We start from the raw sequence: 26,427 nt of genomic DNA, 5'->3' as shown, positions 1-26,427 counted from the left end.
GATATTGGCTTTGGCCATAAAATTTGCTTTGTCAGTGGAAAATTAGCAGAATTGACAATAGCAAATGTTTTAAATGTCCTGAGCAAGTTTCACCTTCCCTTGCAATTTGTTCCCTTAATCTTGAAAACAACAAGCCTCAGGAAGGATGAAAGGTGTGAAGTAGACCAAAACTTGTGCAGATATGAGTTTGAAGCCACATCCAGTGAACCCACATTCTGAGACAGAGCCACTCAGTGTAGACCATCCTAGATCAGCTAAACTACAAGTGGCTTGCTGGCCTGGTAGGTGAGAATCAGTTTGCTGCTGTAAGATGCAGAATAGAGGGAGAGAGACACAGTTCGTTAAATATCATTACTGTAGTAGTAGCTAACTAATTCAGACACATATCAGTCTCTGCTTCAGCTGGTGTCTGTGAGCAATTATAATTTTAAAGGACCTCACTGTATATCGTTTTTAAAAGAACATTTTACCCGCATAGGAATACTTTTGGATAAATATTGAGAAAATTGTGAAATCTCTTAAAATCAGGTATAACAATATGAGTTAACACCATGAACTGTAACCTGGATAACATGTTGTTGTTTTACCACATTTTTCAAGTATTCTCTTAAATAATTATTTAATGTTCTTAAATGCCATAAAGTGCTCATTTTAAAACTGAATATATTTTTGAGAGGTTAACAATTCTCCAAAAGTCATTTGCAAAAGACTGAGAAACACAGCATCTATTCAACTACTACAACTGTAGATGATCACCCAAAGACTCATTTCTTTGTGTCTATAAATTATTTAGATTTCTTCCCTTGATGCCTGCATTACAACATTTATTTCACAGCTGGTTTGAAATTTTAACAAAGGATGATCAGAAGCAGAGATGTTTCTCACACCAATCATGAACTAAATAATATTAGGCATTTAAATTATACTGCCCCATAAAACCCTGAAAATATTTCCATTCATTATTTATACTTGTCCCCATTTACAGATGAAGAATCTGATCCTTTTAATTTTTCCTAAATTTTTAATGTTATATTCTGCTAATGTGTTATAAAGTTGAAGGGCTCAGCTTAAAACTGAAGGAATCTTTCTCTAAAGTTCACATTTCATCCACTACACCAGCCTGTCTCCACAATTAATATAAATGCAGAAAATTTGGTTAATAAAACAGAGGCTAAAAGTAAGTTTAGGAATGGTTAAGAAAAATACATTACCGACAATACAGACATTTGTAATTTGGCTTCATTTTCTAGATCTTGCAATAAAATTTAACAGTAATGTTTAGCCTACCTAAGATAAAATAATTAATAAATGTAGTTTAACAGAAGAAGGAAGAGATTCATTTGTAGAACAAAAATCAACTGATTTCAAGCCCTGAATTCACTACAACTTGTTATAAACAAATATAAGAAAATATATTTTAAAAAATCCCCTCATCTTTTTCTAAAACATTTGGGACAAAAGAGAAACATATACGATACAATTTTGAAGAAAACAGTTTCCAATTTTAGAAACTATTAAGTTTAGTAAGTGCAAAGTACCTATCTAGCCAATGTAACACAGCATAAATTGCAAGAGACCTTCTGTATCTGAAGTTTGGTCAGAAAGAGCCAACATCTCTCTTAACCTCCCACGTATTTACCTTAGTAATCAGAAAAAGTCAAAATAAACCAAGTAAAGACGAGTTTTGTTTTAATTCTTCTGTAAGTCAAATACATTAAAGTAAGTAAACACAGAGGAACGAGCTCCCACAGGGATTGAGGAATAATAGCATAGTAAGTGACTTGCAACGGGAACACATTCAACACTTCATGAGCTCACTGGAATTCGTGACACCTGCTCCACCTATTGAGTCAGCCTTGTGGTGGGTGGGTGCTGGAAAGGGAAAAGTGGGTGACAAATGCAATTTCCATGGACCAAAATAGGTTCTGGCACATTTAGCTCCTAAGATTTTTTCTATTTAACTTTCTGAGGAAATTTTGGAAGAAAAAATGTTTACCATACAAAGTTTTCTTTCAATAAGAAATAACTTTTACAAAGATTGAGATATAATCCTAGTTTCTATTGCAACATAACTTGAAAATACAAACGTATTCTGATTTTCAGTTAAGCCAGTACATCAGATTAACTTTTCCCCCAAGATGAGCTTTCTACTTTTTAGTAAAAAATCATCATCCAGGTGACAAATCAGCTTTAAACAGGCCTTAAATCAGCCCAGAATTTGAAATAAGCTCTTTCCTGCCAAAAGTGCAAAGACATCTGTTATCTCTTCTCTAATTCTTCACATTAAAATTGCAACAGCAGAGCAAATTTTTAGCATCATATCTCACTCAATCATTGATCTATGGATGAAAATTATTAAAATTTAAAAAAACCAGATATGCTTATTCCCAAAAGTTTCATTCCTTGAGGTTTTTGTTTAAGATAAAGTTGAACACATGCATTTCTATCATGGCACTTATTTTAAGGCTCACCTTGGCTATTATTTCTCTCACTTGCCAGGTTAACCACTCTCAATTTCCACTTTTTTGTTAATTTAAATGTATAATAAATATACAACTAAATCTCCCCTTAATAAATGCCACTTTTATTATACATATATATAAAATAATTGACTTAAGTCATTCAAATATAATCAGGTTTAATTTATCTCTTCAAGTTTGTCACTGAAAATACTCTATTAGCTAAAAATCTCTAGATAATGTCATTGTATGTATATGAAAATATTTTAAATTTTATGTTAATACAAAATCATTATTTTATTATTTGTTATGTAGTTGATAGTCATTGTTGAAAACATGTAAAATAAAAACACATGAGGGAATTTAATAATCTTTCATTCAACATCTAAATATCTCTTTCACTGGAATATATTGAAAATATATACAATATAATTTATATTTATATTTGCATAAAATGTTTCTGTAAAATTGAGGTGACTCCTTATATCATTTTATAACTTTTTCCAATTGTGTTTTCTTTTATTTCCCTAGTAATAATCTGTTAAATCTCCAAGTAGAGCACCTAATATTTAGGATACTCATCCTTATAGACGCCTCTCACTCCCTTTTTTTTAAACGTGAAATATTAGCATCTTATAATTTATTTTATAGAATGATCTGTTTTCAAGTTCAGGGATTTCTTTGAAAATTGCATTAATTCAAAGGCAGTTCTCCATTTAATTGGATTAATGTGCTTCACCTGCACAACTTATTTCTCATCGAGTTGTGATTTTTATACCTTTATTTACAGAAGATGTGAGTAATCACGGAATGTGCTTCTTTGGTCCTCAAACACAGATATAGAGTTCTGAGATCTGAGGAAACTCTTTGGATGTTAATCCAATATCTCTGATATGAGAAATCTGAAATCAGCATGATTATCTTTTACTTTTTATGTTAACCTATTTTTTAATCTGATCTAGACGGTTGAAAAACATTTTAAACCTATTTTTAAATGTAAAATAAAAATCTAGCACAGGTATAAATATGTTTCCTCAGGTAGATTTTCATTTATGTTCAGTAAACTTTCTCAATCTAAAGTTTTAAGTCTTCTGAAGTTTAGCATTGATCACTACTCCATCAGTTCTGTGTTTTCACTCAAAACTTTTTTAAACATATATTTAAATCATATATGTTGTGTCTGTCCTCCACATCACATATTTTCCCTTTCAGTTAGAAGAAAGTTTCTCCAGTTTTTCATCTTCTTCACGGATTTAATTTTTCAGCATTGTCATGGTTGTTACTCATTGTTCCATTTTTTATTTTTATTTTATTTTACTTTTTTGTGAGGCGGAGTCTCGCTCTGTCGCCCAGGCTGGAGTGCAGTGGTGCAATCTCAGCTCACTGCAAGCTCTGCCTCCCGGGTTCACGCCATTCTCCTGCCTCAGCTTCCTGAGTAGCTGGGACTACAGGCGCCCACCACTACGCCCAGCTAATTTTTTGTATTTTTTTTTTTTAATTTTAGTAGAGACAGGGTTTCACCGTGTTAGCCAGGATGGTCTCGATCTCCTGACCTCGTGATCCACCCACCTCGGCCTCCCAAAGTGCTAGGATTACAGGTGTGAGCCACTGTGCCCGGCCTCATTGCTCCATTGTTTTAATGTAATAACTTTGATTCCGTTTTATGCATTGTGCACTCTTATCTCATGTTGTTTCCTTCTTTTTTAACTCCTTACAAAATTTTTTTAAAAAAATTGTAAATGTTTATTCTGTTTCTTGAGTAAGTTTATTTTGTAGAAAAAAAAATTGCCATGATTTTTTATTTGTTGGTTTGTTTGTTTGGAAAGGAGTCCCTTTGCCGCCCAGGCTGGATGGAGTTCAGTGGCCCAATCCCCGCACACTGCAGCCTCTGCCTTCCAGGCTCAAGCAATTCTCCCACCTCAGATTCTGGAGTAGCTGGGACTACAGGAGTGCGCCACCACGCCTGGTTAATTTTTGTATTTTTAGTAGAGACAGGGTTTCGCCATGGTGCCCAGGCTGGTCTCGAACTCCTGACCTTAAGTGACTCACCTCGGCCCGCCAAACTGCTGGGATTACAGGCATGAGCCACTGCTCCGGGTGATTGCCATGATTTTTAAGAGTTGTTCCCAGAGTATGCACACGTATGTTTATTGTGGCACTACTCACAATAGCAAAGACTTGGAACCAACCCAAATGTCAAACAATGATAGACTGGATTAAGAAAATGTGGCACATATACACCATGGAATACTATGCAGCCATAAAAAAGGATGAGTTCATGTCCTTTGTAGGGACATGGATGAAGCTGGAAACCATCATTCTCAGCAAACTATCGTCAGCAAGCTATCGCAAGGGCAAAAAACCAAACACCGCATGTTCTCACTCATAGGTGGGAATGGAACAATGAGAACACCTGGACAGAGGAAGGGGAACATCACACACCGGCGCCTGTCGTGGGGTGGGGAGAGGGGGGAGGGAAAGCATTAGGAGATATACCTAATGTAAATGACGAGTTAATGGGTGCAGCACACCAACATGGCACATGTATACATATGTAACAAACCTGCACGTTGTGCACATGTACCCTAGAACTTAAAGTATAATAATAAATAAATAAAATAAAATAAAGAGTTGTTCCCATTATAGTGATAAACTGAGAAAGCAGAAAGTAAAAATGCGTGTTCACGTGCCCACAGACCTCAAAGGCCCCAAAGAGGAAAGTGAATCATTAAGACTGACCACAGTATCAACCACTGTGCTATTACTCATCTCTTCCTGGGATGATTTTTTTCTATCACTTATCTACCTAATTTGTGATTATATAAACTCTGGTTTCACATACATAGATATAGCCGTGAAGATAGATTGACAGCTTGTTACATTAGAAGCACTTAATAAATATGAATGATTATGATGATGACGTGCTGCAGAAATCATGATTTCAGAACACTATTGTACAACTCTCAACCTCACATAGAAGCTTAAGAATACTAAATGATACTTAGCTTGCTTACTTTACTTGAAGGGAAAACCAACAATTTTCTTTTCAAATATCCAGTAAAAGAAAACAATTGAGTTCACCTGATAGCTGCTATCAAACACAAAATAATGAAAACTTACAATCTAGAATAGTAAATCTGAGCTTTCAGGAGATAAGAATCATTTGACCTATTTACAAATTAGAACATGCAGTCAGTATGTATTTATAAAATTAATTTATATAAGTGATTTCAAAACATGTGATCTTAGATCATAAGCCCTCTTTATTTAGCTGAAATAATCATAATAAAAAGTTGTTGGCAGCAAAACTTGTAATAAATATTTCTGAATGGAGATTTAATTAATTATAACAGCAATGCTTGAACAATCATTGCCAAAATAAATAAATGCCACCAAGAACACAGGCCTTCCATGCAATTTGCATTGCATTAACAGATCTCATTTTTATCATCAGCAACTTTTTACTAAGAAACCATTGTGAACAAAATATTGGCAGTGCTCTCCTTGATACAGATATGATCAACTGTATTTTCTCAGGTGAGTGGGAACAAGGAGGTGGACCATGGGGAAGAGGAAACAAGATATGAGTCTTTTGGCCTCTCTTTCCGCTTCATTTATAACAATTGCAAATATTAGGATTCCAACAACAATTTTATTTGTTCGAGCTTACTGATTTGCCCATCCTTCAAACTTAGAAAAAAAAAACCACATTTTTTCCCAGTATTATGAGAATCTTAGAGAGTTCTACTATAGAAACATACATGTCCCTGTCAAGATACAGCTACTCAGCCTCTTGTATTATTGACTAACTAAATTATTGCCTAATAAAATAATATAAAGCCAGATATCCTGACTCTAGTTATATATTCATTTAACTCATGTGTTATATTTTAAGTTTATCATCTTAATGGTTTTTCTCTTGTGCTTTACAAGAGCCTGGTATCACTTCATCTGTGACACTCCACACTGAGTACAGAAATCTTACAAGATACAAACACATGCTTCCCTACTGAGACTACCAACAAATTCCAGTCTGTTTCTGCTATACTCTTTTTGATATGTCTCATTATCATGCTTCATTTAGTAACTCCAGTTGTTATATTATACAATTCATATTAATACTCCTTAATATACTTTTGGCATCAAATGGCACATAGGTAAGTCATTAGTAAATATTTATAATTAAGCTTAAATAAAATAGTTCTGTAATAAAAGCCAAATAAGACACCACTGGGCTGTAAAAAGAGCATTTTTAACCCTAGCCCTTATTGTTTAAATGATAGCTTAAACTAGAAGGCAAGGAATCATGGATATACAATATAATGTATATCTGAATAAATGAGAACCTTTAGAGCTATACAACAACTAGAGGCTATTTTCTGCCATGAAAATTCAGGTAGAGACACTAAAGAAAGGTCCGTTGTGTCTGCAAAACTCATCTGGGAAGCTTCTTAGGAAACACGAGGGGGATTTCATGTGAACGAGAAATAAACTTCCACTGTGTTTTTTAAAAAAAAATCAGGAAAGTCTCTTAAAACTCCTACTTCAGACTACAACCACAAGCACTGAATATTTTTAGAAGAATGTTTTACAGTAAGCATTAGCCTATTTTCTGGTAAGGAGAGACAGTCCTCCATACTTCCAGCATTTCTTGCACTGTATGAATTTATGAAATAGCAAACGGCATTGGTAAACATTAAACTATATTAATAGAATTTATGAAACCTCTGTTGATAAGTAAATGCCTATACAGATGACACTTAAAGGTGTTAGGCTCTCTCTGATAGATAATTTGGCATCATATTGAGGAGTGACAAAAACAAGCTTAAAATAGTATGGGATGCTAAGAGACAATTTTTATCAGAGGCTAACCAAATATGGAACCAGGTTCCCATATACTAATGTCTCAGCTACACTTGGACAGGGACTTCAGCAATATTCTTGTAATGAAAGCCTAGTAATCAACATTAGCATCAACATGTAGACTATTTCATATAATGTGCTCAGCTATATCCACCCAATTTTTTGTTTTATTTATAAATATCATGTTTAATAGAACTTTTTCAAGTATTTATGGTTTAAATTTGATTCTGCTTCCTAACTACTGAGACTGAGTTCTTTGGAGGAATTCCTATTCTAAGCGAAATTAGTAATGGCTAGAGGTTCTGCCTCACCAACCCAACATACATTTTTGTCATATACCTTTGTGACTATGTCCTCGGCCTTAGCTGCACAAAGGCTATTCTTGCTGAATGATGTAGAGTTTACAAAAGTATGTAGAATGCCCACTGGGAATTAGTCCAAGACCTAGATCTAGAATACTAGATACTAAAATAAAATGAGTATTATTAGATTACAAAATGACCTAATTTTTTTTTCTATCTTCGTTTCTCAGTGGGATTTAATGGAATCATTGTAAGCCACCATAACAAAGCAGAAGAGCCCAGGGAACCACACATATCTGTTCATTTCTCTCTGAAATTCCCATTTCTTTTGAGTCCCATTGCTTTACTTAATTAATGTTCTATGATTCATCATTCTCAAATATCTGTCCATAGCAAATACAAAATTTGTTCTCATTTGCATCCATCCTATAACTCTGTCAGTAAAATAGCCTCCTTGTTATCTCTTCTCCCACAACAAAACCATTCCACAAATCATTTTGACTTTTTTTCTTTCTGATCATATTGACCTTCATATTCCCATTCCTGAGATTACCATTGTTACACACCAAAAGCTACAGAGACACTGAAGTTATAGGAATGCAATTTTACCAAAATCATTTATAACGGTCAATTATTTTTATTTTGTTCAACAGACAATAACTATAAATAATCTGAAAAGAATGAAGTAGAATAAATTAATGTTTTCCTATGAAGAATATGTGTGTATATTCTAGTACCTGACCCTCACAAATCCACGAAGCAACATTTAACTAACATGCAAATCTCCATATATATTTAATGCACTAGTAACAAAACGAGATCAACAATAGTACCAAGAGTTTCTATAAAACAACAACTAATGAAAATGTCTACAGAGGAATATTTTCACTTTTTAAACATAAAATGATCAATCTAAAGAATATATTTTGGCAAATTAGGTAAGAGCACAATTGGTTCCATTATCTTTTGGTTAGAATACACTTCTCTAAATGTAGAAAGGATTTTGATTGAAAATATATCCTTGATTTTATGTAAAAAATTATTTCTATGTCATATATTGTAGTTAATTGTGTTAGTAAAATAATTGCACAAAAGTGGATGTTCTCGAGTCATTTATGTAAAATGTAAGAGACACAGTATTATATTCAATAGCAATAATCGAAGGTATATTATAGAATCTTTTAAAAATGAGCCATCAGCAAATTAGCAGGTATATTCTGGCAATAATACTCACATAGTGACAAAATTGCTGTATTTTCTACGGGAAGAACTGGGTAGTAAATTTCATATTATACCAAAGTTCATTTAACAAGGGGACTTTTCACAAGAATCTACCATTGTGAGAAAAATAAAAATAAAAGCAAATACAAGTAAAATACCTGAAACTACACAGAAGCCCTCCACTATGTTACCATGACACTAGTTACAGAAATCCAAGAGTGTTTAAATCCTGCCTCTGGCAATGTTATATATAACATGTGTAAATTGTATTCTCAAGCCTTAAATTGAAAAATTTGCTTCTCTTCAGCTCTTCTTGTGGGCTGAGAAAATAAAAGTCTGCAGGAAAAAAAAGTATGACATGAACAATAAACATAATAGATTTTTGGACTTTCCATCCCTACATTTTATACTCTGAGCTTCCTTTGTGTTGCCAAAGAGAATAGAATTTTCCCAAAGCAATACTGGTAGTTGAGGCAATATTCCACAAATAAAGTTCATTAGAATTAGGAAGGAGCTATTTCCAGTTGACAGTTCACTCAGCTCTATAGCTGTGTTTGCACCCAGTTTAGCCATCATCCGTCACATTTCTGTTCCCTAGAGGTACAACACAGGGAGTTCTTTGTTTCTTAGCAGAGACTTTCCAGATAGCCAACAGAGGAGGTCTCTCAGGGCTTTTCCAAAAGAGACTGGGTAAGGAAGCACAGGCAATTGCAGACCAGAAAAAGGAACAGCAAAAGAGAAAAAGCGCTCTTAGCATAGCACTGGGCTCTTAACAGATATTCAAAAAATATTTAATTAATTTTTAAAAATTCCATATCTCATACATTCTATAATCAGAATCACTGAATTAGGAGTTTTTCATCTCCCTTTGTCCTTAACAATCTGCAAGAAGACATTCAAATTTAGAAACTAGACATACCCACACCCATCTACATGCAAATCAGCATTTGTGTGCAACCCCGGGCATTTGGAAAATGTTAATATTTACAACTACCTGTTTCAATTTAATAGTATAAAGTATTATATTGCAAAGTGTTTTAAAATAAGGGAGCGTGCATATTCATAAATACTCTTTCTTGAATTTTGGACCTGATTTTTGAAAGTAGTATCAGGAGTCCCCTTTCCTTCACACTCCCACAATCTACTTCAAATTTTTCAGGGAAGTCCCTAGAAAACAACAAGGGCATAAAATATAACCATCTTAGAACACAATCCCCCCACTAGGGCAATGAACTTTTTCATCAAAAGAGTGCAGAATCCCAGCACTTTGGGAGGCCGAGGCAGGCGATTCATGAGATCAGGAGATCGAGACCATCCTGGCCAGCATGGTAAAACCCCGTCTCTACTAAAAATACAAACATTAGCCGGGCGTGGTTGCACGTGCTTGTAATCCCAGCTACTTGGGAGGCTGAGGCAGGAGAATTGCTTGAACCCGGAAAGTGGAGGTTGCAGTGAGCTGAGATCACACCACAGCACTCTAGCCTGGTGAAAGTGTGAGACTCCGTCTCAAAAAAACAAACAAACAAACAAACAAAAAAAAAGTGCAGAAGATAAGATTTCCTGTAATGTCCCCACTAGTAACAGAAAAGAAGACAAACTCTGGAATTACATAGCCTTCCCCTTGAGATTTGTCTTGAGGCTAAAGAACCTAGGGGAATGAAAAGGAGATGACATTTACTGAGTGTACATTACAAACAAAACACACTTCATGGCTTATATATTATATATTTAATCTTTGCACTAGTCCTGTGAGGTAGGTGGTAGTTATCCCATCTTACCAATGATGAAACTGACACTCAGAAAGGTTAGGCAACATTTCAAGATTACACCGTTAGTAAAAAGAGGGCTCTGTGTGACTCAGTGGCAGCCTTCGCTGAACTGTGTACTGAAGTAGACTGGCTCTTGAGCAAGAGCCATCTGCTTGGGCTTATTCTGGTTTCTGGGACTTACAAAAAGAGAAACCGAGGTTCTTCTTCAGAACTCTGTCTTGAAAAATCATTTTTTAAATCCATTTCAAAACTATCAATTAAAAAGACAGAACAGAAGGAGGACTTTGAAAGAGAGAAGCCAGAGAAAGGGAAGGGAAAGGAGTCTTTAATTCTCAGGATGCCCGCCCTGGTAAATATAAAGAAAGAAAGAAAAAAAGAAAAAAGAAAAAGGAGCATGAAAACCCCCTTTCTCTCTGAAGGACTCCAGCAGTCAAAACAAAAATGTGGCCTAAAGCTCTAGGACTTCAACAAGGGAAAATTCAAGATGAGCCAGTTTTCTCACTATATTTCTCACTCATATTCACCAGCTGATTGATAATTTAGTGATTATGATATCTAGATTGCTAGAATAAAATAGGACTTAAATGGCTTTAGAAATCAAAGCTATTAGGTTGAGCCATGTGAAAATGTCATCTTTGTCTATCAAAACCGGTTGAATAATGACAATTTAGTGTGGTTCAACCTAACATATTAGGTTGTTAACATCAATCCAAACATAGGAGGAGACCAAAATAATGAGAATTCAAACATAGCAACAACTCTGGATCATGTAAAATACAAGTTTTGACCCACACAATTTCTCTGACCAAAGTTGATAAGCCAGTTTGCAGGTAGAACATTCCCAAAAGACAGTAGTCCAGAGCTCTGAAATATTACTCAGGAAACAGTCTTTTGCCGTTAACAGCAGTTTCACATATGGCAAAGCAAAACACATGTGAACAAAAGTTCTACTTCTCCCATGCCAGGGGCAGTTTTTCAGACTAAAATAGCTGGTCTGTGCTTAACTATTCTCACAGCTATGGCGAAGCTTTAGTTAGGACCTCAGTGTAAATTATATTCAGCCAATAATTGTGTGGAAGTACCAATTTAATTTTCAAAGAACAAGCCTTGAGGTTTAGCATAACTAAGCTTGAATTAACATGTTTGCTACAAGGGCTAGGCAAGCTGCTGGGTACGCTGGCCAATTCCAGTGTACAACCAACCCCCTTAGGTTTTCTACCACATGTTTGAAAGGCCTGTTCTCTATGGCAAAGGCAGAATATATCCTGTAGGCTCCCTATGCAGCAAGAGGCTAAAATAGCATTTAAATTTGATCCTTGGAACCAAGGGGGAAATACAAAGCTGTCCAATTTCAGAAGAGCTGGAATGAAATTCAGCTGATATCACTGTCATGCTTAGGAGAAGGAAAAGGCAGACAAGCCCAAGAGGAGATAGTCACAACAAACAAGAACTCTGGATCTCTGAAATGAGAATCGACTGCCAAGTCCTCTCAGCTAGCAGTGCACAGTGTTGTGAACTCCTGGGGAAACTCAGACTCTCCACAGATGGGCACTTGTGGCATATGTTTTCCCTTCACAGTACACTGTAAACGGATACTTTCCTTTCTGCTTTGCTTCTTTGTCTAAAATTTAAAGAGCACATTTAATTGTGCTAGGCACTTTCCTAGACATTAGGTCTAGATTCCAGATATTGGTGGACTAAGAGGAGAAGACCCCTAAGAAATTGTTTTAGGAAGAACCCATCACTTTGGAAATGGTGAGTGAACAAGAAGTCCAATAGGGAACAATTCTAACAAGGGTAACACACCTCAAGTATACAGAAGTTAGGCAATTAAAGCACCGTTTAGTGAACTAACACGGGTTTAATTTATAAGCATGTAAGTGAATTTAGATGAATATACATTTGTAAGAATGTAAGATTTTTGCTTTCTCGTTAAAGAGGTATACTCTTTAGTGCTAGTCTTCACATTTCTGACTTGTTCATCCCTCCCCACCTAAACTCTTAGATTATTTCCCTTCGCCTTACTTAATTGAAATACTTCCCTTAAGGGAAAAGTATCTACGTATTATCTTAAATGTAACCTGCCATTTTTCACAAGCAGTTTCTTTAGAATGGCCCCATGATTTTTCTGTATGTTATTATGAATTAGAAAACTAAAGCAGAATGGAGAATTGGTTGATAAAGTTAGTGAGTGAAGAAACTTCAAGATTGTATATCAGAGATTCCTAAAATAAATAACATCCCTTTTCCCCATTATGACTGAAATCATACACATTGTAATCTGATTTTTTCAGTATAAATGTTTTCAAAATAAAGGAAGTCACGTGGATAAAACAAAGGCGAAAGTATTCTGATGCCTTCTAGGTTCAGCTCTATCTGTGCCAAGTTGTTCTTTGATAATTCTATTACCAGATTCTCCTACTCAAAGAGGCTTAACTGGAACCTGTATGTGTTATACAATTAAATTATGTGTGACTAAAAAGAAATAAAATGTTTTCCTTTTCTAAAATATAGTTAATAAAAATTGATTTTCCCAATTTTGTCCATACTCACTTTGTAACCAAATGTACTTATTAAGACATGTCTTAGACACTGCAGTGTACATATGAGGTTTTTTATTTTCCAGTAATATACCTTTTTGTCCATCTTTTGTTAAAGCACACAGGTTTCCCTTCAGGAAACTGGACTACATTATGTTTTTACTCCCAATCTTCCCCCTCTCTACATTTAAATCTTTTGCAGTTCTTTCAACAGTAGCAGATTATACTTCCCTACCTCGTTGATTGGCTGTGTTATTTGCTTTGATCAATGAGAGTGTGAGCAGACATGACACGGAAGCTTCACATGTACTTGAACCCGTGCTTCCAGGGTTCTTTAGCCATTGCTATGAACAGAAGATACCCCTGGTGGCACACAGGCCCTAGAATAATGAGAGACATGTGGAGATGAGCTAAAACAACACCTCGCCTGTAGCCAAGCCAGAGTGAGTTCAGCTAAGATCAGCCAAACCCCAGCAAACCCACGGAAATATGAGCAAGCAATAATTGCTTATGGTTCTATGAGGATAATAGTTTGTAGTTCTAGTATTCAATATCATTGGCAGCATATCTGAGTGATAACAGACACAAATTCGTACCCTTATGAATTCTAGTGAGACTTTCAGTAAAGTTTATCTTCTTCCACTAAAAAGAGATGGGCATATGACCAAAGTTAGGTCAGTCTGACTCTCTCTCCTAAGAATTTCAATCAACCTGAGTAACAAAGACAGAAAACAGTTGAAGCTGTTTCATCCCGGAAATTCTGCAGAGATTATGCAATACTTCTTAAAATCCAAATTCCTAAAACAGCCAAGGATCTTGAATTTTCCAAGACTTCAGATTTTTCTTTATTCTATTGAGCTAACACACATTAGTTAAATTCATTCATTTGTTCTTAAGTTAGTGACTAATTTTCTGTTGCTGGTAACTCAAAAACCTTAATGATATAAGGACTTCATTTTTCAATCTCTAAATAAATTCATTGAATAGCAAAATATCTTATCATTATTTGTTTTTTTTTGTTGTTGTTGTTTTTGAGACGGAGTCTCGCTCTGTCGCCCAGGCTGGAGTGCAGTGGCACAATCTCGGCTCACTGCAAGCTCCGCCTCCCAGGTTCACGCCATTCTCCTGCCTCAGCCTCCCGAGTAGCTGGGACCACAGGCGCCCGACACCACGCCCGGCTAATTTTTTGTATTTTTAATAGAGACGGGGTTTCACCGTGTTAGCCAGGATGGTCTCGATCTCCTGACCTCGTGATCAGCCCGCCTCTGCCTCCCAAAGTGCCGGGATTACAGGCGTGAGCCACCGCGCCCGGCCGACATCATTTGTATTTTTCAGGACTGACCAAAATTCACAACGAGAAGGGGGTTGCCTACTACAATGGGAATTTCTCCAGACAAGTTAAAAAAACAAAGGCTTCAACATCAGGTAACTTACATGTATATTTAATTTGACATAAGAAAACGAATAGGGCCTGATGATGACTCTTTTTGTTTTAGAACATTAATAAAAATATTTCCACCAACAAACATTTCATAGGTGTTATTTTATTACAGAAGCTATACATTATAAAATCAAAGAACCCTCTTGAAATGGCATGTAACATGCCAAATATAAATTGAGTCAGAATTATTATAAATGTACTTTAAATAACTCATGAAAATGCAAATATTTATTTTAAATGATGATATAATTCCAGCAATATGATGATCAAAATAATCTGAAAACTCAGCTGCTACCAAACAGCTACAAATGTGGAATAAAATTTTATTGCATATTTTAACTGCATAGCCAATATTTAAATTACACTTGTGAGATATCCTCAGAAACCAAAATTGGAAAAGGAACGAAAAGCAGGGGAGAACTACATGAGCTGATAATTTTGCTGGGGTGGAGTGGGCTACGGTTAATTCCTCTCCTTAACAACTGATCTTGGATTTTAATGCCCAGATGTAGCTAATACTCTGTGTCTGAGAAAGGAACGGATTATTAGTGATAGTCTCCCACAAAGCTGAGACACTCGCCCTCAGTAAAAGGGTAGACACGTGTAGGTAAAGAGGGACTATAAGTAAGCTTATGCTTTTCCCTGAAATTTAGGTGAATAAAGAACTGATCTGAGAATCCAAAATAGTGGTGAACCTAACATGGATTTGAAATTCAAATCAAAATATCAAACTCTATGGTGCTTAAAGTACAAAATTAATATTAAAACAGCACCAGTTTGATTACAATACCTTTAGCACATGGCATTAGCCAATGCAGACACCTAAAATGAACAATACTAACAATAAATAGCAACAGTGATACAATTATAGCAGAGATTTAAAATGCTAAGAAAAAACTAATAACAAAGTTAGCCAATGAATATAAACTTTTAATTAAAAGACTTACTAGAAGAGGACAACTTGCAAATATATTTCATAAAAGACCTATAACCATTAGAGAAATTGAATTGGTCTACACCAGTATTTCTCAACTTTGTTACCATTGATGATTTGGACTAATAATTGTTTGTTTTCAGAAGCTGCCCTATACATTGTGGGATATTGAGCAGTGTATCTGGTCCCTATTCACTAGATGCCTGTAGCAGCCTCACAGTTGTGATAATTTTGTCTCCAATTCTCACGGATGACTGAGGGGTTCAAGACTTCAGTGGAGGAAGTAACAGCAGATGTGGTGGAGATAGCAAGAGAACTGAATTACAAGTGGAGCCTGAAGATGGGACTGAATTGCTGCAATCTAATGGTCAAACATGAATGGATGAAGAGTTGCTTCTTTTGGATGAGCAGTGAAAGTTGCTCCTTGAGAAGGAATCTACTCTTGGTGAAGATGCTGTGAACATTGTTGAAATGACAAGAAAGGATTTAGAGTATTCCATAAACTTAGTTGGTAAATCACCAGCAGGGTTTGAGAGGATTGACTCCAGTTTTGAAAAAAGTTCTACTGTGAGTAAAATGCTTTCAAACAGCATCACATGCTACAGAGAAATCTTTTGTAAAAGGTAGAGTCCATTTACGTGGCAAAATTCATTGTTGTGTTATTTTAAGAAATGACCACAGCCACTCCATCCTTCAGCAATCACTACCCTGATTTGTCAGCAACCATTAACACTGACGTAGGATCCTCCACCAGCAAAAAGATTACAACTTGCCTAAGGCTCAGATGATTATTAGCAATTTTTCGTATGTGCATTGTTTTTTCAGATATGTTATTTCACACTTAGACTATAGTATAGTGTAATCATAACTTTTATATGCACTGGGAATCCAAAAAACTCTTGTAACTCACTTTACTGTGATATTTGGTCTACTGTGGTGGTCTGACCAAACTTGCAGTATCTCTGAGGTGTGCCTGTACAGGTTCTCCAAAACCACAAATTAACAAATAATCTCCTCCTTTAAAAATTTGTCCCTGAGACTCAAGAGAGAATTTATTTTATGCGATGGGCCTTACATTAATGTGAAAATTACATAAGGGCAGAATGAGAAGTAGGTGTGATTTCTTAAAATGGAAGAAAAATTCTTAATATTAGAAAACTGATTCTTTAAACACTTATACACTGCTAGTGGGAATGTAAATTAGTTCAGGCACTACAGAAAGTAGTACGGAGATTTCTCAAAGAACTTAGAACAAAGGTACCATTCAACCAGCAATCCCATTACTGGGTATATACCAAAAGAATATAAGTCGTTCTACCATAAAGACACATGCGCACATATGTTCACTGCAGCACATTCACAATAGCAGAGATATAGACTCAACCAAGATGCCCATCAATGGTGGACTGCATAAAGAAAATATCGTACATATTCACTATGCCATACTATGTACTCTTTTGTAACGTACTCTTTTGTACACTGAAAGAATTAGGTATTTTTTCAAATGTTATTTTAGTTTTGGGGTTACAGGTTGTCAATTGCATGTCATGTAGATGCTATACTATGCAGCCACACAAAAAATGAAATCGTGTCATTTGCAGCAACATAGATGCAGCTGGTGACATCATCCTAAGCAAATTAACGTGAGAACAGAAACCAGATCCCTCAAGTTCTCACTTATAAGTGGTAGCTAAACATTCAGTACATGTGAGACAAAGAAGGGAAAAATAAACAATGGGGGCTACTTGAGGATGGAGGATGGGAGGAAGGCGAGGGTCAAAAAACTACCTATCGGGTACTATGCTCACTACCTGAGTGATGAAATCACCAGACCCCAGTGACATGTTATTTACACTAATGACATGCAATTTGACAACCTGTACCCCCAAAACTAAAATAACATTTGAAAAAATACCTGATTCTTTCAGTGTACAAAAGAGTACATTACAACTGAACTGAGAGCATCCTAGGAATTCAAGAATGAGCATTAGAAAAGAATATGATTTTAATTTATCATATTGATACTGCTACAGATGCATTACAGAAGCATGGATGAATCTAATGAACATAATATTGAGCAAAGAAGTCATAAGCACATAGTTTATGGTATCCCATTTGCTATAAATTTCAAAAACAGACAAAACTAGCATATAATGTTAGAAGAGTAGTGATTCTTGGCAGATGCAGGTAGTGGATAGTGAAACAGAAAGGGCATGAGATATTTTATTGTCCTCTGCTCTTATGTTTATTAGGTCTTTCCTTACCTTTGAAGTGCTATTGCTTGCCTAGGTGTAAGGCTATCAATTTACCTCTGAGTTCTGTTTTATCTACATCTCATAAGTTTTATGATGCTATGTCATCATTCATATTCAGTTCAAAATACTTTACATTTCTGAATTTAAGTTCTCTTTGACTCATGAATTATTTACAAGTATATTGTATGATTTCCAGGGAGTTTTTCTAGTTGTGTTCTTGTTATTTATTCTAGTAATATGATCATGGTCATATAACATCATCTGTGTTATCTTAATCTTTTCAAATTCATTGAGGTTTTGTTTGTGGCAGCAAATGGACAATTTTGGTAAATGTTTCATGTGTGTTTGAAAAAAATGTGAATTCTGTCATTATTCATTGCAGCTTTCTATATATGTCTGTCAATCAGGATAAATTTGTTAATTGTGTTGCTCAGCATGCTATATGCTTAATATTTTTTGCCTTATTAGCCATTGAGAGAGGTATGTTAACATCTCCCAACATAATAGTAGATTTGCTAATTTATCCTCTTAGTTTTGTCGACTTTTGTTTTGTAAATTTTGAAAATATGTTTTTGGTAATGTACAGATTTAAGACTGTGATATTTTCTTGTTGGATTAGCCCCTATATTGTTATGAATATCTCTCCTCGGCTCTACCAACTCTTGCTTTTTTTTTTTTTTTTTTTTTTTTTTTTTGAGACGGAGTCTCGCTCTGTCGCCCAGGCTGGACTGCGGACTGCAGTGGCGCAATCTCGGCTCACTGCAAGCTCCGCTTCCCGGGTTCACGCCATTCTCCCGCCTCAGCCTCCCGAGTAGCTGGGACTACAGGCGCCCGCCACCGCGCCCGGCTAATTTTTTGTATTTTTAGTAGAGACGGGGTTTCACCTTGTTAGCCAGGATGGTCTCGATCTCCTGACCTCATGATCCACCCGCCTCGGCCTCCCAAAGTGCTGGGATTACAGGCGTGAGCCACCGCGCCCGGCCCCAACTCTTGCTTTTAAAGACTGTCTGATAGTATTGCTAGGCCTACTTAATTTTGTTTAGGATTTTTATGATACTTTTTTTTTGCATTTGGTTATTTTAACTTCTCTGTGTTCTTAAATTAAGGATGTTTATCTTAATGCAAATCAAAACCACAATGAGATACCATCTCATGCCAGTCAGAATGGTGACTATTAAAAAATCAAGAAATAACAGATGCTGGCAAAGTTGCAGAGAAAAACGAATGCTTTTACACTGTCAGTAGGAATGTAAAATAGTTTAACCATTATGGAAGACAGTGTGTTGACTCCTCAAAGATCAAAGTTCTAGAAACAGAAATACTATTTGACCTAGCAATCCCATTACTATGTATATAATCAAGGGAATGTAAATCATTCTATTATAAAGATACATGCACATGTTATATTCATTGCAGCACTATTTCCAACAGCAAAGACATGGAATCAACCCAAATACCCATCAATGGTAGACTGGATAAAGAAAATGTGGTACACATACAATACGGAATACTACACAGTCATAAAACGTATGAGACCATGTCCTTTGCAGGGACATGGGTGGAGCTGGAAGCAGTTATCCTCAGCAAACTAATGCAGGAACTGAAAAGCAAACACCACATGTTCTCACTTATAAGTGGGAGCTGAACGATAAGAACACATGGACACATGTTGGGAAACAACACAAACTGGGGCCTGTCTGGGCAGAAAGTGGGGAGGAAGAGCATCAGGAAGAATAGCTAACTGAAGCTGGGCTTAATACCTAGGCAATGGGTGGATCTGTGCAACAAATCACCATGGCACACGTTTACCTATGTAACAAACCTGCACATCCTGCACATGTACCCAGGAACTTAAAAGTTGATTAAAAAAAAAAGAATGTTTCTCTTATAAGAATACTAAAGTCATTTTTTTTAATCCAACCTGAACAGTCTTTAATATTTAGACTATGTCATCCATCTACATAAAATATAATTACATGTTGGTCTATATCTATACACTTAATTATTTGTTTTGTGTTTAGTTCAACTACTTTATGTTTCCTTTTGCTTTCTTAACTTCTTTTGGATAAGATCAAATATTTCTATTTGTTCTTTTGTTTCTTTCAAGTAGTGTGATTATTTGGGTTTTGTTTTTTACTATTCATATAGTGTATATGCTAGATACTACAACATAAATCATTGACTTATTATAATCTAATAAAATTTGTATTCCTACTACTTTCTTGATACTACCTGGAAACACAGTACTTGTAAATTATATTGACCTTTCTTACCTTTTATATTATTAGAATCATGCTTTTTAGTTCTACATATAATTTAACCCACAAGATATTACTATTATTTTTCAGTAGTCTGTAGAATTTAATATTTGCCTGTATGTTTCTCTTGCCTTGTGTTCTTTATTCTCTTATACAGCACTTCCACATTTCCATCTAGATCATTTCTCCCTTGAAAAGTGTGTCTATTAGTGTTGGTCTGCTAATAATAAATTGCCTGTCTTATTTGTTTCAAAATTTATTTTATCGTGTTTATTGAGGAACATATTTTGGGATAGAAACCTTAGCTGAGAGTTTTTTCTAGAAATATCATTTAAATTTTTTCTGATTTGAATAATTTATGTTAAGACATCAGCTATCAGTCTAGTGTTCCTTTGAAAGCCACGTGTCCTTTTTTGTTTGTTTTTCTGAATGTTTCTTTCTTCTGTGCCTTTGATTCTCAACAATTTTACTATGATGGCTCTTGGTATGGTTTTCTTTCTATTTGTCCTGCCTGGGATTTGCTAAGTTTTTGGAATAGGTTAATATATTTCACCAAATCTGGAAAATTCTTTATTGTTTGTTCTCTGAATATTGCCTCTGACACAGAAAGACACTAATCTCTCTTTCCGGAATTCCAATTATAATTATATTAAGGCTTTTAATATGCCCATGTGTCTCTTATGCTATTATTTTTTTTATTTTGCTTTCTATTCTGTTTTCTCTGCATTCAGTATTTTCTATTGACTCATCTTTGAATTAATTCATCCTGCCTTTTGCTTTGCGCAGTTGACTATTAAACTCATCTCTTGAGTTATTCAGTTCTATATAATATTTTTTAAATTATGAGTTAATTTGTACATCTTATTGATTGCTATTTTTATTTATCTTTTACACTGATTTTTGTTCATATATGTCTCAATTTTTAATATTTCCATCACAATTAGCTTAAAAGTCTTTGGCAACTTTTATATCTAGGTCATATGTAGGTCTGCTTCTGGCATCTGAATTTTATTTTTATTATTAATATAATGCAAATCTTTCTCCTATTTCTCCCATTTCTCAGGAAAGAAGCTCAACTCCACAGAGAATTACATAGCATTGGTCATTCACAGAAAAGTAATTTGAAAGCACTTACGGCCATTAATAAGCAAATTTTCATTCGTCTCATCATAGCTAGATAAAATGTACTATTTTGTATCTTTAAAAGAGTGGTTAAGATATACGATGAAATCTATTAAATGCCTTTCAGACATACACAATAATCCCATTAACTTTGAACTTAGAAATTCTATTAGAGTTGTCAAATCATTGATACTTACTACAAGGATTCAAATGGAACCCCAGTGATGTTGCATCAATAGTATATTTTCCTACATGATTGAGAGCAAATTCTTGTCAATAAAGATGCTCTAGTTTAGGTATTGTTAGAGCTCCATGTGTACTGTAAAACCTACACACTATTTATCACTTTGAAAGGTATAGATTTTATATAGTTCATGGAATGCACAGGTGACAAAGATAACAGTAAATTTCACAAAATTTAAGTAAAATGACTGTGTATGACTCAGATATGTCTCCCTTTTGAGACAAATGGCATATTTGTAAAAGGGAAGAATTTCTAGTGCACAAATAGATGTTTAAGAATTTTGATCAGTATTGCCTAATTAATTGCTCCATTTGTCATTTAAAAAAAATAGTAGTAGGCTCCAACTTACCCAAAACAAGTACCTGGTTTACAAGGTGACACCAATTCACTTCAAAGCAATTCTGATCATATACAATTTGTCCATGTAGAATGATATTTTAAATATCCAATTCTACATATATTGTAGTAAAAGCCACAAACTTGGTGAACAAAACTATCTGTAAGAAGATCTTGGTGTATAGCCATTTAGAATCACAAAGTACTTTGTTTTAATGATATTCTAAATATCCAGTTCTACATATATTGTAGTAAAAGCCACAAACTTGGTGAACGAAACGATCTGTAAGAAGATCTTGGTGTACAGCCATTTAGAATCACAAAGTACTTTGAGATAGATGGAGAAATTAAAATATAGACTAAAAATGGCAAATGATACAGAAAATATCTACATGCTAATAAAATGTCTACGTTTATTCAGACTCAAATAAAGCAAATATTGGTCACCTTATTTTCAAATATATAATCCACAATTGTGGGAGAACCTGGAGAAGTAAAGACTGGATATGGGAGACAGAGGTTCACAGAGAGTCACTAACAAAACAGTCTGCTAAGCCAAGTACTTCTAAGCATGAGTGGGTCCACCAAGGGGAAGGTTATGGGGAAATCTATGAGAACTTGTGTATTTTGTATAGTTATCACCTCCATGAGTCCACAGCTATACATGTGGTAGTAGCCATGGACCCACCCTGTTAGTTAATGGGGACAATAATTGAAAAGACCTGCTCAGTTAGCAGGAGAAAGAAAAGACAAGCTACAACTTAGCCGGCCCCCCTGTGTCTGTCTGCAAGGACATTTAACCACAGAATGACCTTTGGAGAGTTTCACACCCACGTTCAGAGCATTTAACCTCCACCTTCCCAACTTTGCATAAGTTCCTTTTTTTGCCAATTCTTAACCAGACTCATAAGCAGAAGGGGATTCTGGAAATGTAGTTCCCAGATTAATCAAGAGGCAAAATATGCCAAAGTACCTAACAAAGTTAAGTGCCTCTGTCTTACATAAAATTATAAACATATTCTCATTTATAACTTATTGCTTCAAATAAAATTAAGCAATAATTTCTTACAGTTTTATTTTTAAAAAAGAAACAAGGGATAGGATATAGCCTTTCCATTGACATAAATTTCAAAACTTACAAATTTTAGACCCTCTTCCAAAATAAAAATACTGCCACTTACCATATGATAGAAAAGCAAAATTTGTATCTATATTTATGTTACCCTGAGAAAATCAAAGTTAATTTTAGTTCGATTATTAGTTTTGTAACTTCTTTCCTACTCTAAAAATTTGTTATATATCATTAATCAATAATATATAAGTAGGAGAGTATGTATTTCATAATGTTTAGCACATAAGTAAAAGATATTAACTTAGCCTCTTGGAGAAAATCTTGTTGAATTTTAGAACTACCTTATGACTTTGATTGACCTTAACTCTTTTTTACTTCTTCGACAAAACACATCTAACTGAATTGTTTGTATTGAAATTCACAGAAAGTAATAAGCTAAAATACTTCATTTTGAGTCCAGAAAATGTGTCAATTTAAAAGATCTCATCAGGCACATTTGACACACTGTTGCTGCACACACTTGCACCCTTTTTGTTCACATTTTGTTTGAGTTCAAGGAAAGGAAAAGAGGAAAACCCATACACCTTGTTGCTCTGTGAATTCTCCAGCCTGCAAGTGTCTGAGAAGCTGCCAGAACCTTTTATTTGTTTTGTAATCTTTAAGCTCTTTAAAAGGACCTTGACATTCTGCTTACCTTCTTCATTTCAGCTACCTATTAAACATCAGCGTTTAATGATTTTCTAACTATAACTGTAAAATTGCTTTGCTCATCCTTCTGATGTCACAGCCTTTATAACACAATTCTTCCCCTTCTTTATTTGCTCTAGGGTGACATTCAGAGTACGAACATCAAAATCCTTTTTTGTTTTCTATTCCATTCCCTGGACACATAGCACTCCTTCCAGAATCCTTATGTTCCCTCAGATTCACAAAACTGCCCCCTGACTGTAAGTCATTACCCACAAAAAAAAGTCATTTGGTGAGCTGATTTTCTCTCTCATGCACAGCGCATACAAAGCACCTCATTATATCTCGGTATGGCCTAGTAAACTGCAGAGACGTGGTGGCCACTGAGGAGCCTCTGCACTTCACAGTCCCTGATGAAGAAAGAGCCTCTGCACTTTCTTCATCCTTTCACGTGCACTTCCTTAAGGAAAATAATCTCTAAGATGAAGAAGTCTTGCAGGCAACTGAAATTGAACTCCCTTTCTCCCCATATTCTCACTCCTATAACCCGCCTTCTCAGTCCCTTTCTGCATTCATCCAACACCCCCTTCCTGAAATTATTCTCACACAGATTTCTTACTCATTCATTGAACCTCTAAAGGAAATTGTTAGTATTTAGTAAGCTCTTTTCATATATTTCTCATTCTCCCTGGGAAAAGATTTTATTGATCCATGAATGTCATGACATTTCCAAGATGATGACAGTTATAGAATTTTTAACATGAGCAAGGCTTGGTTTGGGAAGAGACAGAAGACAGATGGGGAACTGGTGTTGTCACATATTATGTACCACAGAATATGGGGGTATCAGAGAGCACATGTGAATATGTCAGCAAGGTTCAGTAATAGATTAACACCTGAAAATAAAACTGAGCTAAGAATGAAGCAGTGAGGAGACAGGGTATTTATTCTTAAGAGAAAACTAAAACAACCATTAAAATTGCAGGTGAAACTTTGGATTTGGAACTGACATTTTATGTCAATAAGCAATAATTATGGTGGAATGTGTTTCCATACTGCATGTAAGTAATTTGTACATGGATAAATATTTTGTATTATTACTCAATGAGAGACCTATTATTATTTTTCCATGTAATAAGAAAAAATGGTATTTGTAAGTAAGGCCAGTGGAATTGTCTATTAAATTATGAGAAAGAGATATTCATTTAGGATAGTTTGGTGTCTATGATAAATGAGGAAAGAGAGAGGAAAGAAGAGTGAGGTTCTGGGAGATTGGAAGTTAACTCAAGATATTGGAAGGGGATTGAAAAATTGGGGACTATAAAACCAGTAAAACATAAGAAGGGAAACTTGCTTTTATAAAGAATGAGTATTTTTTTTGTTTTGATTTCCATGAAGTACATGAAAATAAAATTTTTCTTGACTGTAGTTCACCCAAAGGTTTATTGACCTTAGCTTTATAGCATTTGGATAAAGAGCTTATAAAACGCCTATCATTCACAGGCCTGAGGAGCAAGAATTCTTCCTAGGATAATAACTCAGGTGTCTGCCATTGACAAAAGTTGGCTGCTAGATTTCTTTGCAATGCAGTTTAGTTAAGTGATTCTGCAAATTATCTGTTCCTGCTATGTCTATCAGTAAGGCATTCTCAAACAAGTGTAATTTTCAGTGAACAAGCAGTCTTGGCAATCAAGTAACAAAGAAAAAAGCAGGAGGAGAGGGGAGGGCAGAAGCAAAGAATGCCACTCTAATCAATTCTGCCTTGGAGCGGAGACTCCTACCTAAATAACATGAGAGTTAATCAGCATTTTGTATGTGGTATGTAGAAAAAAATTGTCAATTTTTTATTGCAGTATAGATATCAAAGTAATGTTTCCATTACTGATTGGCTTCAGACAGTGAATATGTTCCATCGCAATGTAGTCACCACAGCTATTTATTTCATTTAATACTATTTTTTATTTTGAAGTAAAAGAACATACCTTATGAGGGGCCGGGCGCGGTGGCTCACGCCTGTAATCCCAGCACTTTGGGAGGCCGAGGCGGGCGGATCACGAGGTCAGGAGATCCAGACCATCCTGGCTAACACGGTGAAACCCCCGTCTCTACTAAAAACACAAAAAATTAGCTGGGCGTCGTGTCGGGCGCCTGCAGTCCCAGCTACTCGGGAGGCTGACGCAGGAGAATGGCGTCAACCCAGGAGGCGGAGCTTGCAGTGAGCCGAGATCGCGCCACTGCACTCCAGCCTGGGCGACAGAGCGAGACTCCGTCTCAAAAAAAAAAAAAAAAAAACTAACATACCTTATGAGATACCATAACAAAATATCATTTTAATATTCATCCTTCTCAGTTTTTTTCCTTTCAAGTTATAGGTCTAAGGAGAACTTCCTTGGGAAGCAACCAAGAATTGTCTTGAGACAATAACATTCCAGAATTAGGTTTTGGGAGAGAGTGTCAAAATCTCATTCTAATGGTAGGTAGTTATGAGAGAATTGTTTATGTCATCCTACAAATATACAGTGAGCATAGATTATATTCTAGACAATATTATATTGTTTTGTCATATGCACAGATGACTAAGGCTGGCTTCTAGACTTCAAGAGATGATAATATAGTTGGCTTTGTCCTAGAACCATTAGAATTGCCCTGCCTTCTTTTTAGTCCATCGTTATATGTACAGATAATATATCTGGCAAATTATGAGACACAGGAGCAGATATTTTCCATTGAATTTCCCTGATGTAAGTATCAAAGTATTAATATGAGCTTGAAAAAGTCATATTGCAAAATTGCAAGTGAATTATTTCTAGGAAATTCACACCTGCAAAAAGGATACTTACTGTCCAAGTGGTAGCTCTTTAGTAAACTCTACACATTTGATTTCTTAGAGTTATTTATTAATCCAAATCCACTTTCTTACCAAC

The 26,427-nt window shown here is 35.4% G+C and overlaps 1 long non-coding RNA gene across 2 annotated transcripts in view; it reads left to right on the top strand.

Moving 5' to 3' along the window:
* Positions 1–26,427, top strand: part of LOC124903296 (uncharacterized) — a 41,385-nt gene that overhangs the window by 3,638 nt on the left and 11,320 nt on the right. The window contains exon 2 of one of the 2 annotated variants that reach the window (XR_007064092.1): positions 25,876–25,976. The exons of the other annotated variant lie outside the window; for it this stretch is intronic. This is a non-coding gene — a long non-coding RNA (uncharacterized LOC124903296). The remainder of the gene's footprint in view (positions 1–25,875; positions 25,977–26,427) is intronic. 2 annotated transcript variants of the gene reach the window in all.

The sequence above is a fragment of the Homo sapiens genome, chromosome 14, assembly GCF_000001405.40.
Source record: "Homo sapiens chromosome 14, GRCh38.p14 Primary Assembly".
Lineage (NCBI taxonomy): Eukaryota > Metazoa > Chordata > Mammalia > Primates > Hominidae > Homo > Homo sapiens.
The sequence above is the reverse complement of the archived record's forward strand: the minus strand, read 5'-3'. Positions and strand labels throughout refer to the sequence as shown.